Source organism: Homo sapiens, chromosome X (genome assembly GCF_000001405.40).
Source record: "Homo sapiens chromosome X, GRCh38.p14 Primary Assembly".
NCBI lineage: Eukaryota > Metazoa > Chordata > Mammalia > Primates > Hominidae > Homo > Homo sapiens.
Genome location: NC_000023.11, coordinates 64302993 through 64319967, shown reverse-complemented (window position 1 = coordinate 64319967; position 16975 = coordinate 64302993). Strand labels below are relative to the sequence as shown.

The 16975-nt window shown below is 39.1% G+C and overlaps 2 protein-coding genes and 1 pseudogene across 3 annotated transcripts in view; 2 read left to right on the top strand and 1 right to left on the bottom strand.

Moving 5' to 3' along the window:
• Positions 1-16975, top strand: part of MTMR8 (myotubularin related protein 8) — a 127372-nt gene that overhangs the window by 75485 nt on the left and 34912 nt on the right. The gene's annotated exons all lie outside the window — the stretch shown is intronic.
• Positions 7406-16975, bottom strand: part of LOC112268307 (uncharacterized) — a 106617-nt gene continuing 97047 nt past the window's right edge. For both annotated transcript variants that reach the window (XM_047442705.1, XM_047442706.1), the window contains 2 exons: positions 14276-14402; positions 7406-13196 (listed from right to left, as the gene is read on the bottom strand). In XM_047442705.1, the coding sequence (XP_047298661.1) occupies positions 12861-13196; positions 14276-14402 (463 nt within the window). In that variant the 3' untranslated portion in view covers positions 7406-12860. The remainder of the gene's footprint in view (positions 13197-14275; positions 14403-16975) is intronic.
• On the top strand, positions 13035-15091 carry KPNA4P1 (KPNA4 pseudogene 1; annotated as a pseudogene).

Below are 16975 nucleotides of genomic sequence, written 5' to 3'. Positions count from 1 at the left end.
CATCCCCATCAAGCTACCAATAAGTTACTTCACAGAATTGGAAAAAACTACTTTAAAGTTCATATGGAACCAAAAAAGAGCCCGCATCACCGAGTCAATCCCAAGCCAAAAGAACAAAGCTGGAGGCATCACGCTACCTGACTTCAAACTATATTACAAGGCTACAGTAACCAAAACAGCATGGTACTGGTACCAAAACAGAGATATAGACCAATGGAACAGAACAGAGCCCTCAGAAATAATGCCACATATCTACAACTATCTGATTTTTGACAAACCTGACAAAAAAAAGCAATGGGGAAAGGATTCCCTATTTAATAAATGGTGCTGGGAAAACTGGCTAGCCATATGTAGAAAGCTGAAACTGGATCCCTTCCTTACACCTTATACAAAAATTAATTCAAAATGGATTAAAGACTTAAATGTTAGACCTAAAACCATAAAAACCCTAGAAGAAAACCTAGGCAATACCATTCAGGACATAGGCATGGGCAAGGACTTCATATCTAAAACACCAAGTGCAATGTCCACAAAAGCCAAAATTGACAAATGGGATCTAATTAAACTAAAGAGTTTCTGCACAGCAGAAGAAACTACCATCAGAGTGAACAGGCAACATACAGAATGGGAGAAAATTTTTGCAATCTACTCATCTGACAAAGTAGTCTCTTTTTTTAACTAAGCATTTCCCTGGTTTTTGTAGTTGGTGTAAGTTTATTTAAATTAGATTCTAGAATTTGAAAATGTTTATTCTTATAGTTTCTTCCTGCTTAGTTATTGCTTTCATGGAGGTACGGAGTTCCCTACTCCACCATTTTTGGTGATATCACCAATGATAGGTATTTTTCATTGCCACCAATTATTCTTTTTAGCTTTGAGTATTTCAAATGGGAACTTCTCAGTGAAGCGAAGGTAGTTTACATGTACTTATTGACAACTGTAGTGCCAGAAATTCTGCATTTCCTTAAGATATAAAAACCAGATTTAGGCTGAGCGTGGTGGCTAATGCCTGTAATCCCAGCACTTTGGAAGGCCAAGGCGGGTGGATCACCTGAGGTTGGGAGTTCGAGACCAGCCTGACCAGTATGGTGAAATCCCGTCTCTACTAAAAATACAAAAATAACCCCAGCTACTTGGGAGGCTGAGACTGGAGAATTGCTTGAACCCTGGAGGTGGAGGTTGCAGTAAGCCAAGATTGCACCACTGTACTCCAGCCTGGGCGACAGAGGGAGACTCCATCTCAAAAAAAAAAAAAAAAACAAAAAACCAAACCAAACCAAACAAACTAGTTTTAGGGGAAGATGGAGTCAACATATTTTTCCTACTCCCCCCACTAAGTAAAACTAAAGCCCATGGACATTATGAAACAAATATTAACCCATCATGAAAAATTCAGAGTAGAAGGCAGATTGACTAGGGTCCACAGGACCTAAGGAACAACACGATTGTGAGTTTCATGGGTTTTCTTTTTGCCTCATATAACCCAGACTTGGAGCTGAAGAAGCTGGCAACCCATACATAACACGGGAACAGAAAAAAAAGCCACAAATAGAAGCCATCTCTTTCTAGCCAAAGGACCAGAAAAGAGCCTAGTAACACAGAAAACTTGAGAAAATAACTGCTCTATGTCAAATACTACAGAAAACACTATGGCTCTACTTAGCCAGAAAAGGCCATGTCAGGAGTCTAGATTTCTGGCCTCATCAAGCTATCACAAAATACCCAAATGGCCCCCTGCCAGGGTGGTGTCAGAAAAAGCCAAGTGGGGAGTTGGAATTTAAATCCCTAAAAGACACTTCTGTTCCTGAGGTGTCAGTGGAGACCATATGGAAAGTCTGGACTTCCACTAAGTGGTAATAAGGTAACTCTTCCCCTCCCCACTTGGATATGATCAGAGGAAGGCTAGTGGAGAGTCTGGACTTTCACCTAGCATTAATGTGTCCATGCCCTGTGTTGTCATTGGAGGTCACATGGGGAAAAGCAATGAGCCACTTTTATCCAATGCAGCTAGGGTGTTATTAACATAGACTGAGTGGGGGGCCTGAATCCCCACTTCTACCCAGTAGTACTATGGGGCACCTCCCCAACTCAAGTGTCAGTGGAAACTAAATGGAGAACCTTGACTTACATTCCCACCTGGCAATAATGAGGAGGCACTCCTCCTTCTTTATTATCCCCTGCCAAAACAGTTTTATAGTAAGCCTGCTAAAACAGCAGATCTAAATGCAATCCAGAGTCTCTTCACAAAATTACCTAAATATTTAGGTTTTAGTTGAAAATCAGCCATCAGACCAAGAACAAGGAAACTAACAACTGAAAAAAGGCAGTCAATGGATGCCATCATTACGATGCCTCAAGAAACAATTGCAAACCTGATTGAAACAAATGAAAAAAGTCTCAGCAAAGAAATTCAAGATATAAAGGAGAACCAAATGAAAATTATTCAAATGAATAATATAGAAATGAAGAAAACTAAATGGATCAGCTCAACAGCAGAGTGGAAGGGAAAGAGGAAAGAATACATGAGCTTGAGATATAAAAATAGAAAGTACCCAGTCTGGGAGAAAACTGACGAAAAAAATAAATAAACAGAGTCACAGGGGTCTGTGGGACAATAATGAAAGTTCTAACACTTGTATAATTGGAAACTTGGAAGGAAAGAGGAAAGATGGAAAACCTCAAAAAGCACTCAAATAAATAATGGCTGATAATATTCCAGTATGGCAAAAGGCTTATACGTATAGATTCGAGAAGCTGAGTGAACATCAAACAGGATAAACCCCAAATAAAGTTACATGAAAATACATCATAGCAAAATTTGTGAAAACTAAAATATTCTTTTTTTTTTTTTTTTTTGAGACACAGTCTCGCTCTGTCATCCAGTCTGGAGTGCAGTGGCATGATCTCGGCTCACTGCAACCTCTGTCTCCCAAGTTCAAGTGATCCTCCCACCTCAGCCTCCCGAGTAGCTGGGACTACAGGCACACATCACCACGCCTGGCTAACTTTTTGTCTTTTTAGTAGAGACGGGATTTTGCTATGTTGGCCAGGCTGGTCTCGAACTCCTCACCTCAAGTGATCCACCTTCCTTGACCTCCCAAAGTGCTATGATTACAGCCGTGAGCCACTGCACCTGGCCTAACAAACTATTGAAAGCAGCAGGAGAGAAATTACACCTTACTTATAGGGGAAAAACAGTTTAAATGACAGTGGATTTCTCATCAGAAATCATGGAAGCCAGAAGGAAGTTGCACATTTTTAAGTGCCAAAAAAAATATATCAATGCGAAATCTTATAAATGGTGAAAATAGTCTTTTTTTGAGACTGGGCCTTGCTCTGTCACCCAGGCTGGTGTGCATTGGTGCAATCATGGCTCACTGCAGCCTTGACCTCCCAGGCTCAAATGATCCTCCTGCCTCAGCCTCCTGAGTAGCTGGGACAACAGGCATGCACCAATCATGCCCACCTAATTTTTGTATTTTCTGCAGAGTTGGGGTTTTGCCACATTCTCCAGGCTGGTCTTGAACTCCTGAGCTTAAGTGATTTGCCCACCTTGGGCTCCCAAAGTACTGGTATTACAGGTGTGAGCCACTGCATCTGGCCCAAAAATATTCTTTAGGAATGAAGGAGAAATGATGATATTCTCAGATGAAATAAAACGTGTTTGTCACCAGCAGACCTACCTTAAAAGGAAGACTTAAGGAAGTTCTCTAAAGAGAATGGCAATGATAAAAGAAGGAATCTTGGAACATCAGAAAAGAAGAAAGAAGAATGGAAAGAATAGAAATATGTATAAATACAATAGACTTTTCATCTCCTCTTGAATTGTCTCAAATGTATGACAGTGGAAGCAAAAATTATAACGCTATCTGATATGATTCTAAATGTATAGAGAGGAAATGTTTAAGATAATTATATTATAAATAGGGGAGGGAAAAGGGATGTAAAAGGAAGGAGGATTTGTAGACTTCATTCAAACTTATAAAATGCTGACACCACTACACGATGATACACGGACACACAGAGAGAGTATGTATAGGCACACATATAATATACTGCCTAGAGAAACCACTGAAAGACCTATACAAGGAGATACACTCAAAAACACTTTAGATTAATCAAAATGAAATTGTAAAAAAGTAACCCACAGGAAGGCATGACAAGAAAACAGAAATGACAGATTGAACAAACAAAAACAATAACATGGGGAATTAAGCTCTAACATATATAATTATCTTAAATGTAAATGATCTTAATACACCAATTAAATGAAAAAAATTAGCAGAGTGGATAAAAAATATATGCTGTCTACAATAATTGCACTTCAATTATAATGAAATAGACAAGTTGAAAGTAAAAAAAAAAGGATGGAAAGAGAAGCATTATGAAAACATAAATGGAAGCAGCAGAGGCCATATCACATAGTATCAGATTAAATAGACTTCAGAAGAAATTTATTTGGGCAAGATGGCTGATGACACAGCCAGGTGGAACAGCTGCCACCAAGGGAACTGGGACAACTAGTGCACTCCTAGAAGATCTTCAGAGGGAAGGCACTGAGAGTGGGCAGAGGGAAGGCACTGAGAGTAGGCAGAGGGAAGACACAGAAGCTGGGCTGAAGTTGGAGGAAGCTGGGGACCCTGCACGGGGCCACCATGCCTGGGACTTGTTACTGGCTCCTAACAACAATGGGGGAATGGGTGAGTTGAACTGGCAAGGAGCAACCCTCTCTTGCCATGGGCCTCTGGAATCCTGGCAGGAGAAGACCCCCAGACCATGATGGACACTTGAGTTGGCAGGGAGAGAAGTTTAGAGAAGTGTTAGGGGCAGCATGCCAGCCAGTTGTGGAGCACAGAGGGCTTGGTGCAGGAACATCTGTATTGGAGCAGAGCCAGGGATGCCCATCCCCCTAACTCGACTTGCTGTCATAGTAGACTTTAGTCTTAGGGGAACTAGTGGGCCTGAACTCTGCAGGGTGGTCTTGTCCATCACTCAGGCCAGTCTGATCTGTGCACCCCTTGGTCTTCTGGCCTCTCTTAGGGCCCCAGCCTGGCCACATTGGTTTGCAGTGCAGTCTTGGTACCCTGGGGGTCTGCATCATAGCTTCTGAGCTGGTGGACTGCACCTGACTGCTGATGAGCTATAGCAGGGTGGCCCCCGAGGTCACGTACCATCCCACCCACTCGATACCCACAATACAGCTTCCTGTGGGCCCAGGGCCACTTCCCACATTGCCTTGACCGCACATGTGTACGTGGGGCCAATCTTGCCTTCTTCCCTGCCTGGCCAGCACATATATGCACTGAACCATGCTGTGCCACTGCTGCCAGCAGCAGTTCACTACAACTCTCTACCCTCCACCGCTGCTGTACCGCCATTGCAGTTGGAGCCTTGGCAGGCACAAAGCCAGGCAGTTCCGCCCCTGCAAGTGAAACTAGGCACAGAGACTAGCAGACCCTCCCCTGCCCTGAGCCTGCATAAACATGCACAGAGGGTGGACACAGTCCTGCACCCACCAGTGCCCTACCCCCATGCTAACACCACTAGCAGGACCACACACACAGTCACCAGTCAGGCCTCTGCCCTCCTGAGCCTCCACCGCCACTACTGTGAATGCCTGCATGGAGGCAGGCATGCTGGCACCTCCTAGCACCCTGCTGCAGCAAACAAGCATGCACCCCGCTGTGCTGCCACTGCCACCACTGCTGACACATGCAAACAAAGATGAATCCCACTACCATCACCCTATGAAACACTTTAGCTGTTACCACTCATTAGAGTGTAGTGACCAGCGGTCTGTGAGCACCTCGGCCCTTCTAGCACAGCAGGTTCATAATTTCAAGGAGCCAAAGAACAAAGCAGAGGCTTGATAGCAGTCATCCAGAGTTAGCACATGGAGTTCCGGAGTCCTGAGCTGAGGCTTGGCCTCCTAAAATCTTCCAGAAATGAACCCAGTCAACTGAACCCACCTTTTGCCACAATCAAACCCCAAGGTCCTCAAATAGAATAAAATTTAAAAACATCCAAAGGACAGTGACTTCAAAGATTGAAGAAACATCAGCTGATAAAAATGAGTGCAAGAACTATGACAGCTTGAAAAGCCAGAGTGTCTTCTTTCCTCCAAATGACAGTACTAGTTCTTCAACAAGGGTTCTTAACCAGGCTAAGATGGCTGAAATCACAGAACTAGAATGCAGAATATGGAAAGAAATGAAGATAATTGCTCCATCTTTTCAGTCTTCTGGATTCAAGACACAACAATATTGAAATTAGGCCAACTAATAACCATGCAATGGCCTTTAAGTGTTCAAGTGAAACGAAGAGTCACATGTTTCTCACTTTAAATCAAAAGCTTGAAATCATTAAGCTTAGCAAGGAAGACACGTCAAAAGCTGAGAAAGGACAAAAGCTAGGGCTCTTGCACCAAACAGCCCAAGTTGTGAATGTGAAGGAAAAGTTCTTGAAGGAAATTAAAAGTGCTACTCTAGTGAAAACACAAACGATAAGAAAGCAAAACAGTCCTATTGTTGATAAAAGTTCCTAACTGTCTTCAATTCTTTGAAGGCTGAGAAAAGTGAGGAAGCTGCAGGAGAAAAGTTGGAAGCTACCTGAGCTTGGTTCATGAGTTTTATGGAAAGGAGTCATCTCCATAACACAAAAGTGCAAGGTGAAGCAACAAGTACTGATGTAGAAGCTGCACAAGTTATCTAGAAGATCTAGCTAAGATAATTGGTGAAGATGGCCACACTGAAGGACAGATTTTTCAATATAGATGAAGCAGCTTTCTATTGGAAGAAGCTGCTACCTAGTACTTTCATAATTAGAAAGAAGAAGTCAGTGTCTGGCTTCAAATTTCCAAAGGACAGCCTAACTTTTGTTAGGGTTTAATGCAGCTGGTGACATTCAGATGAAGCCAGTGCTCATTTATCATTCCAAAAATCCTAGGGCCCTTAACAATTATAATAAATCTATTCTGCCTGTGCTCTATAAATAGAACAAAAAAGCCTAGATGATAGCATGTCTGCTCACAGCATGGTTTACTAAATATTTTAAGGTCACTGTTGAGGTGCACTGTGCAGAAGAAAAGGTTTCTTTCAGAGTATTACTGCTCAATAACAGTACACCAAGTAATCTAGGAGCTCTTATGGAGATCTGCATGCAGATGAATGTTTTCATGGCCGCTAACATAATATCCATTCTGCAGCCCATGGATCAAGTAGTAACTTTGACTTTCAGGTCTTATTATTTAGGAAATACACTTTGTATGGCCATAGCTGCCATAGATTGTAATTGCTCCAATGTACATGGGCCAAGTAAATAAATTTCTGGGAACAATTCACTATTCTAGATGCCATTAAGAATATTCATGATTTTGGGCGGAGACAATGGGGTTTTCTAAATATACAATCATGTCATGTGCAAACAGGGACAATTTGACTTCCTCTTTTCCTAATTGAATATCCTTTATTTCTTTCTCTTGCCTGATTGCCCTGGCCAGAACTTCCAACACTATGTTGAATGGGAGTGGTGAGAGAGGGCATCCGTGTCTTGTGCTGGTTTTCAAAGGGAATGCTCCTTAAGCTGATAAGCAACTTCAGCAAAGTCTCAGGATGCAAAATCAATGTGCAGAAATCACACGGATTCCTATACACCAATAACAAACAAACAGAGAGCCAAATCATGAGTGAATTCCCATTCAAAATTGCTACAAAGAGAATAAAATACCTAGGAATCCAGCTTACAAGGGATGTGAAGGACCTCTTCAAGAACAACTAAAAACCACTGCTCAACGAAATAAAAGAGGAACAAACAAATGGAATAACATTCCATGCTCATGGGTAGGAAGAATCAATATAGTGAAAATGGCCATACTGCCCAAGGTAATTTATAGATTCAATGCCATCCCCATCAGACTACCAATGACTTCCTTCACAGAATTGGAAAAAACTGCTTTAAAGTTCATATGGAACCAAAAAAGAGCCTGCATTGCCAAGACAATCCTAAGCAAAAAGAACAAAGCTGGAGGCATCACGCTACCTGACTTCAAACTATTCTACAAGGCTACAGTAACCAAAACAGCATCGTGCTGGTACCAAAGCAGATATATAAACCAATGGAACCGAACTGAGCCCTCAGAAATAACACCACACATCTAGAACCATCTGATCTTTGACAAACCTGCCAAAAAAAAAAAAAAAAAGCAATGGGGAAAGGATTCCCTATTTAATAAATGGTGCTGGGAAAACTGGCTAGCCATATGTAGAAAGCTGAAACTGGATCCCTTCCTTACACCTTATACAAAAATTAATTCCAGATGGATTAAAGACTTAAATGTTAGAACTAAAACCATAAAAACCCTAGAAGAAAACCTAGGCAGTACTATTCAGGACATAGGCATAGGCAAGGACTTCATGACTAAAACACCAAAAGCAATGGCAACAAAAGCCAAAATAGACAAATGGGATCTAATTAAACTAAAGGGCTTCTGCATGGCAAAAGAAACTATCATCAGAGTGAACAGGCAACCTACAGAATGGGAGAAAATTTTTGCAATCTACCCATCTGACAAAGGGCTAATATCCAGAATCTACAAATAATTTAAACAAATTTACAAGAAAAAAAAACCCCATCAAAAAGTGGGCAAAGCATGTGAACAGACACGTCTCAAAAGAAGACATTTATGCAGCCAACAGACATGAAAAAATGCTCGTCATCACTGGTCATCAGAGAAATGCAAATCAAAACCACAGTGAGATACCATCTCACACCAATTAGAATGGCGAACATTAAAAAGTCAGGATACAACAGATGCTGGGGAGGATGTGGAGAAATAGGAATGCTTTTACACTGTTGGTGGGAGTGTAAATTAGTTCAACCATTGTGGAAGACAGTGTGGTGATTCCTCAAGGATCTAGAACTAGAAATACCATTTGACCCAGCAATCCCATTACTGGGTATATACCGAAAGGATTATAAATCATGCTACTATAAAGACACATGCACACGTATGTATATTGTGGCACTATTCACAATAGCAAAGACTTGGAACCAGCCCAAATGTTTATCAATGATAGACTGGATTAAGGAAATGTGGCACATATACACCATGGAATACTATGCAGCCATAATAAAGGATGAGTTTATGTCCTTTGCAGGGACATGGATGAAGCTGGAAACCGTCGTTCTCAGCAAACTATCACAAAAACAGAAAACCAAATACCGCATGTTGTCACTCATAGGTGGGAATTGAACAATGAGAACACTTGGACACAGGGTAAGGAACATCACACACTGGGGCCTGTTGGGGGGTGAGGGGCTAGGGGACGGATAGCATTAGGAGAAATACCTTATGTAAATGACGAGTTGATGGGTGCAGCAAACCAACATGACACATGTATACCTATGTGTCAAACCTGCACATTGTGCACTTGTACCCTAAAACTTAAAGTATAATTTTTCTAAAAAAAAGAATATTCATGATTTATGGGAGGAGGTCAGAATATCAACATTAACAGAAGTTTGGAAAGAGTTGATGCCAACTCTCATGGATGATTTTGATGAGTTCAAGACTTCAGTGGAGGATATAACGGCAGATATGGTGAAATACCAAGAGAAATATAAATAGAAGTGGTTCCTGAAGATGTGACTGAATTGCTGCAATCTCATGATAAAACTTGAATGGATGAGGAGTTGCTTCTTATGGATGAGCAAAGAAAGTGATTTATTTGATGGAATTTACTCCTAGTAAAGATGCTGTGAACATTGTCGAAATGATAGCAAAGGATTTATAATATTATATAAACTTAGTTGAAAAAGCAGTGTCACGGTTTCAGAGGATCGTCTCCAGTTTTGAAGGAAGTTCTGCTGTGGGTAAAATGCCTGAAATAGCATCACATGCTACAGAGGAATCTTTCATGAAAGGATGAGTACATCGATGTGGCACACTTCATTGTTGTCATATTTTAAGACATTACCACAGCCACTCCAACCTTCAACCACCAGTACCCTGAGCAGTCAGCAGCCATCAACGTCGAGGCAAGACTTCCCACCAGCAAAAAGATTACTACCTGCTGAAAGCTCAAACGATTGCTGGCATTTTTTAGTAATAAAGTATTTTTAATTAAGATATATACAGTTTTTAGATATAATGTTGTTGCATACTTAATAGACTACAGTATATTGTAAACATAATTACATGCCAAAAAATTGTGTGACTGGCTTTATTGTGATACTCACTTTACTGTGACAATTGCTTTATTGCAGTGGCCTGGAACTGAACCTACATTATCTCCAAGGTTTGACAGTAATTTAATTCATAATTTGTGACTTCAAAATCTTAACTAGTATTGGAAGTCCTAGCCATAGAATTAAGGCAAGAAAAATAAATGAAAGACCTACAGATTGGAAAGGGAGAAATAAAACTGTCTCTATTTGCAGATGACATGATTGTTTATGTAGAAAAAATCCCAACGAATCTAGAAAACCAGAGAACAACTGTTTTTTTTTGCATTTACAAGTTTAATATAATATACACAAATCAATTGCTTTCCAACATACTAGCAATGAACAAGTGGAATTTCAGATTAAAAACACAATACCATTTACATTAGCACACAAAAAATGGCATACTTAGCTATAAATCTAACGAAATATATGCAAGATCAACACAAGGAAAACTATAAAAATCTGATGAAATCAAAGAACTAAATAAATGAAGAGATATTCTATGCTCATGGATAGAAAGATTCAATATTGCCAATCTGTCAGTTCTTCCCAACTTTATAGATCCAATAAAATCTCAATCAAAATCTTAGTAAGTTACTTTGTGAATACTGACAGGCTGATTGTAAAGTTTATATAGAGACACCAAAGACTCAGAATAGCCAACACAATATTGAATCAGAATAACAAAGTTGGAGAACTGAAACTACCTGACTTTAACACTTACTGCAAAGCTACAATAATTAAGACAGGGTGTTATTGGAAACAAACAAACAACAAGTACAAATAGATCAATGGAACAGAATGGAGAGCCCAGAAATTGACCCACAGAAATATAATCAACTCAGCTTTGACAAAGGAACAAAGACAATTCAACAGAGAAAGGAAAGTCTTTTTAACCAATGGTGCCAGAACAACTCAACATCCACATATTAAAAAAGAAAAAAATTGAATCTAGACACAGAGCTTACACACTCCACAAAATTTAACTCAATATAGGTTATATAACAAAACATAAAACACAAAACTATCTGTATACGCCATGCCACGTATACAGCACATGACATTTATAGAAATGGTATTATTAATCGTTATGTAGAAATAGTTTATAGACTGGAATCAAATGAAAATATTGTTTATAAAATTGGAAAATAAAAAATTAGGAAATATTGTCAGAAAAATATAGGTATAACTATAATAGATGATACTATATTCTGAATTATAAATAGGAAAGCCAAAAAACTAAAAAATAAATCATAAAAAGTATTATGCCCTGTCAGCTGGGCACAGTGGCTCATGCCTGTAATCCCAGCACTTTGGGAGGCCGAGTCCAGTGGATCACGAGGTCAGGAGATCGAGACCCTCCTGGCTAACACAGTGAAACCCCGTCTCTACTAAAAATACAAAAAAAAAAAAAAAAAAAAAATAGCCAGCCGTGATGGCAGGCACCTGTAGTCCCAGCTGCTCTGGAGGCTGAGACAGGAGAATGGCGTGAGACTCTGTCTCAAAAAATAATAATAAAAAAAAAAGTATTATGCTTCGTCAAAAGTTTTTTTGAATTCTTAGCTAATTCTCTTTTTATTTTTATTATTATTATTATACTTTAAGTTTTAGGGCACATGTGCACAATGTGCAGGTTTGTTACATATGTATACATGTGCCATGTTGGTGTGCTGCACCCATCAACATAGGTGACTTCAACGCAATCATAGGACACAATATCAACATACATAAATCACTTGTGCTTCATATACTAGCAATGAACATACAGACATTGAAATAAAAAATATATCATTCATAATCATTCAAATAAATACGTAAATGCAAATGTAGCAAAACATGTATAAGATCTGCTGACAATTAGAAAATGCTGATAAAGAAATTAAAGATCTAAATGAATGGAGAGGCACATTGCATGTTCGTGGATTGTCAAAATCAACACAGTAAAAATGTCAGCCCTTCCCAAATTGGTATGCAATTACAATACATTTCCTATGAAAATCGCAGGCAGATTTTTTTTGGAGATGTAGTCAACATTATTCTAAAATGTGTATGTAAAGTCAGCGGAGGTAGAATAGCTAAGACAATTTGACAAAGAAGTATAAGGTGGGAGGAACCATTATACTCAATTTCAAGACATTTATATGGCTATGGTAATCAAGTCTGTGCGGCAGTGGTAGAGGGATAGATACGAAACTCAATAGAAGAGAATAGAGAACCCAAAAGCCGACCTGCACAGATACGCCTAAATTATTACAGAAGTAATTAAATGGGGGAAGGATAGTCTTTTCAACAAATGATGCTGAACAATCCATTGCCCTCTCCGCTCAAAATTAACCTTCACCTACACCTCATACTTTATACAAAATGGATCATAAATTTAAATGTAAAATGCTCAAACTATAAATCTTTTAGAAGAAAACTTAGAAAAATTTCAGGTAAGTCACTTGATACTAAAAGTATGATTCATAACAGGAAAAGTTGATATATTAGACCTCAATAAAATTAAAAACTTTTCCTCTACAGAAGCTACAGAGCTACAGACTGGGAGAAAATACTACAAATAACGTATCCAGTAACAAACTAGTATCTAGAATATATCAAGAACTCTTAACACGTAATAGTAAAAGCAAGCCTAGTTAAAAATAGGCAAAAGACATAAACATTTCACTGAAGAAAATATAACAGATGGAAAATAAGCACATGAAAAGGTGTGCAGAGATTGAGGCCATCTCACTCTCAGCATGCATTACATTCCGCCACCGTTGCTGCCATTCCGCTCCCGTAGTTGTCTCCACCTGATCTGCTCTCATGCTGGGGTTGAGGAAGGGAGTTGTACAGGGAGAGGAGAAGGCCTCAGCTGAGGCAGTTGAGGAGGAGGAAGGAAGCAGTGGCACAGCCGGCATAGCAGCACAGGCAGCCTGGTTCCTGGGAGTGTCGGTGTGGCATGGTGGTTGGGGCAGATCCTGTGGGGCCTGGGTAGGGGAAGGAGTCATCAGCTCGTTCATAGTGGACAATGAAAAACTAGACAGCCAATGGCTCAAGAATTTTGAGAACAAAGTCCACAACTTGGGGATTATGAGAAGACAGCAAAATGAAGTTGTAGTTGAATTAAGGAAGAATAAAAGAGATGAACATCTCTTAAAGAGAAGGAACGTACTGAATGAAGATACCTGTGAAGACTGATACAAATGATGATTATGGAGTGTAAAATACCTCTCTAGTAGCTATTATTCAAAATGCTTCAAGTGATAACTAAGAAATTCAATTAAATGCAGTTCGGGCTGCTAGGAAGCTTTGTCCAGTGATCGAAGTCTACCAATTTATAAAAATAAAATCTGGAATACTACCTGTTCTAGTCTATTGTCTTGAAAGAGATGACAATGCTTTACAGTTAGAAGCTGCATGGGCTTTGACAAACACTGCATCTAGAACCTCTGAACAAGCTCAAACAGTAGTTCAGTCCAATGCTGTGCCACATTTCCTGAGGCTCCTCCATTCACTTCATCAGAATGTTTGTGAGCAAGCAGTGTGGGCATTGAGAACTATCATAAGTGATGGTCCTCCCGATGTAGAGATTATGTCATAAGTCTTGGAGTTGTGAAACCTTTATTTTACTTCAAAACATTTTTTTTTTCTGTGATAGGGGCTCACCCAGGCTGGAATGCAGTGGCGCAAACACAGCTAACTGCACCCTCAACCTCTGGAGCTCAAGAAATCATCCTGCCTTAGCCTCCCGAGTAGCTGGAACCACAAGTGCGTGCCACCACACCCAGCTAAATGTTTAAATTGTTTGTAGAGACAGGGTCTCACCATGTTGCCTAGGCTGGTCTCTAACTCCTGGACTCAAGAATCCTCCTGCCTCAGCCTCCCAAAGTGCTAGCATTCCAAGTGTGAGCCACCATGCCCAGCCTGGGTTATGGCCAATTTATGTCACCACAAAGAGCCACCACCACCAATGGAAACCATACAGGAAATGCTTTCAGCTCTTTGTGTTCTAATTCATCATACATTTGTAAATATATTAGTAGATACAGACTGGGCCCTCTCTTACCTTACTGGTGCTGGCAATGAACAAATACAGATGGTAGTAGACTCTGGAATAGTTCCTCATTTGGTTCCTCTTCTCAGCCGCCGGGTGGTTCAGACTGCTGCACCTCAAGCTGTGAGCAACATGGCTACTGGAATTGAAGAGCAAACAGAAGTAGTTGTGAATTATGATGCTCTTTCATACTTGTGGGCAATCCTGACACATCCCAAAGAGAAAATTAATAAAGAGGCAGTATGGTTTCTCTGTAACATCACTGCAGGTAATCAGCTGCAGATACAGGCAGTAATAGATGCCAATATTGTACCAAGAATAATAAACCTTTTGGATAAGGGGGATATTGGCACTCAGAAGCTGACTGTAAAAGATGCACAAGTTGTACAAGTAGTACTGGATGAATTAATATATTAAAAATGGCTAAAAATGAGGCAGAATCCATAGCCAATCTTATAGAAAAATGTGGAGGACTGGAGAAAATTGAACAACTTCAAAATCATAAAAATGGAGACATCTACAAATTAGCCTATGAGATGATTGCTCAGTTCTCTTCAAATGATATTGATGAAGATCTTAGCCTTGATCCAGAGGCAATTCAAGGTGGAACATTTGGTTTCAATTTATCTGCCAGTATACCAATAGAACAGTTCCAGTTTTAGAACAGTATTGTGGAAGTTAGGTACAATTTATATACATACATACATACGTATATATGTATATACATATATATGTATATACATATATATATGTTTATACATATATGTGTGTATATGTGTATATATATATGTATGTGTATATATATATATATATATATATATATATATATATATATATATATATAAATGTTTGATCCATCAAGCTTAGCTCATGGGATCTGCTTCTGCATTAAATTGGGAAAGAAAATGTGAAGATTTCATTTGGAATCACAGAAAATGCCCAAATGTGGTCAAGATGGTGAATGGGTATGAGTGAGAATGAGTGGCAAAATGTAATGAAAACTTTACATGAATGCTTATTTAGGCTGTTCATAGTAAAAAGGGCTACAGGTCACAGATCTTCAGTGCCTGAGAAAGAACATTGACTTACTCTATATAAACTGAGGGGAAAGTGTAGTACTATTATCTTCAAGGCTTGTAACCGTAAAAGAGAATTGGATGCCCACATAAGTAAAAGGAAAATGAGCCTAGGCCTTGCTATGAAGCAGTGTCCAAATGGAAAATGTTGAATGAATGTCTGGCTCAGTGATGGACAGTCAGTATCATCTTTAAAATCTAGGGCTCTCATTCATGAATTAGACTCCTAGTCCTGGAGTGACTATGTACAGGAGTGTGGTAGTGGTGCTGTATGTGAACACATGCAAGCTTGATTTGCCTTCAGGTGGCTGATAGCCTAGTAAATCATCAAAATGAGATCCTGAGTGTTAATGTACACTGGACATAAAAACAAATACTGGATCAGCAGCAGACATTTGTTTACTCTGCAACTTATGTTTTCTATTTCCCCTTACCCCTTTTCCTCCCCGCCCCTGTAAGTTTTTATTTACCTAGTATGGCTTTCTTTTTAGTTGACTCTCAAGTCAGAAAACATTTCAGGAAGGTTTCCCTGTGCATTTGCACTGAATGAATGTTTGATGCTATGAATGTCTTTCCTTATCAAAGCTAATTTGTGTAGATTTTTGCATGAAAAAAATCATAACTTTTTCTCAAAACAGACTGTGCTGCAGTACACAAGTTGCCATAATAGTATAAAACAGTAAAATGTGCTTAAAAGGCCATGCTTTTCACTTTCAGAGAGAACATAAAGATCTTTGCATGAGGTAAATTTACAGCATAGTTCATTTTCAGATTTTGTTGGGTCCTGTAGAGAAGAAGAAGAAAAAAGTTTCAGTTGTGTTAGAATACCATGCTGTATTTAAATGTTACTTGTTTTCAAACTTTGTTTTATATGAAAATGATGTGGAAACTTCTAAAATGGAATTTGGCACATATGTACTGCTTCATAAAGACTGATAAAGTAGTTTTTGTAAATTGAATAATACCTCAGTTTTGAGGTTATGTACAGTAAATGTGATGTAATTTATACAGTAAGAACTCTTTATAAGGTGGCTCATTTTAGGAAATCATGTGCCTTCCCCTTTGAGCACAAGTATTGTGTGAACCACAGTTTGCTATAAGAAATATATCACGTTAACCACCAATAGCCTCTATATCTACTTTGTGTTTAAAAATCAACTAGTAATTCTGAAACACTGTAGAATGGATAAAAATTGTTTTGTGAACATAACTCTGTTGAACTAGAGTATTTTTGCAGTGTGTCTTGTCATCAGAAATATAAAGTTTAAAACTAGTAACAGCAGAAAACTAGCTTATGAAATTTATCCAAATAGAGTACAAGCTAGGCTGTCTTGGAGAAATAAACATTAAAACTTAAAAGAAAAAAAAGATAAATGTTCAACATCATTAGCCAATTTGGTAAATGCAAATGCTCAATCAGATACTACTACACATTTATCAGAATGGCTAAAATAAAAAAAAATGGTTACAATACAAAGTGCTGTCAAAGATACTGAAAAGCTGAATTTTTCCTGCCTTCCTGGTGGGGATTATAGTGACTTTGAAGGATTTTACATCTGATAAGAATCACGAGATGGCATTAACGCACAGCAAACTTTAAGTGATCCTTTGACAGATTTGCACCTGGGAAAATCCT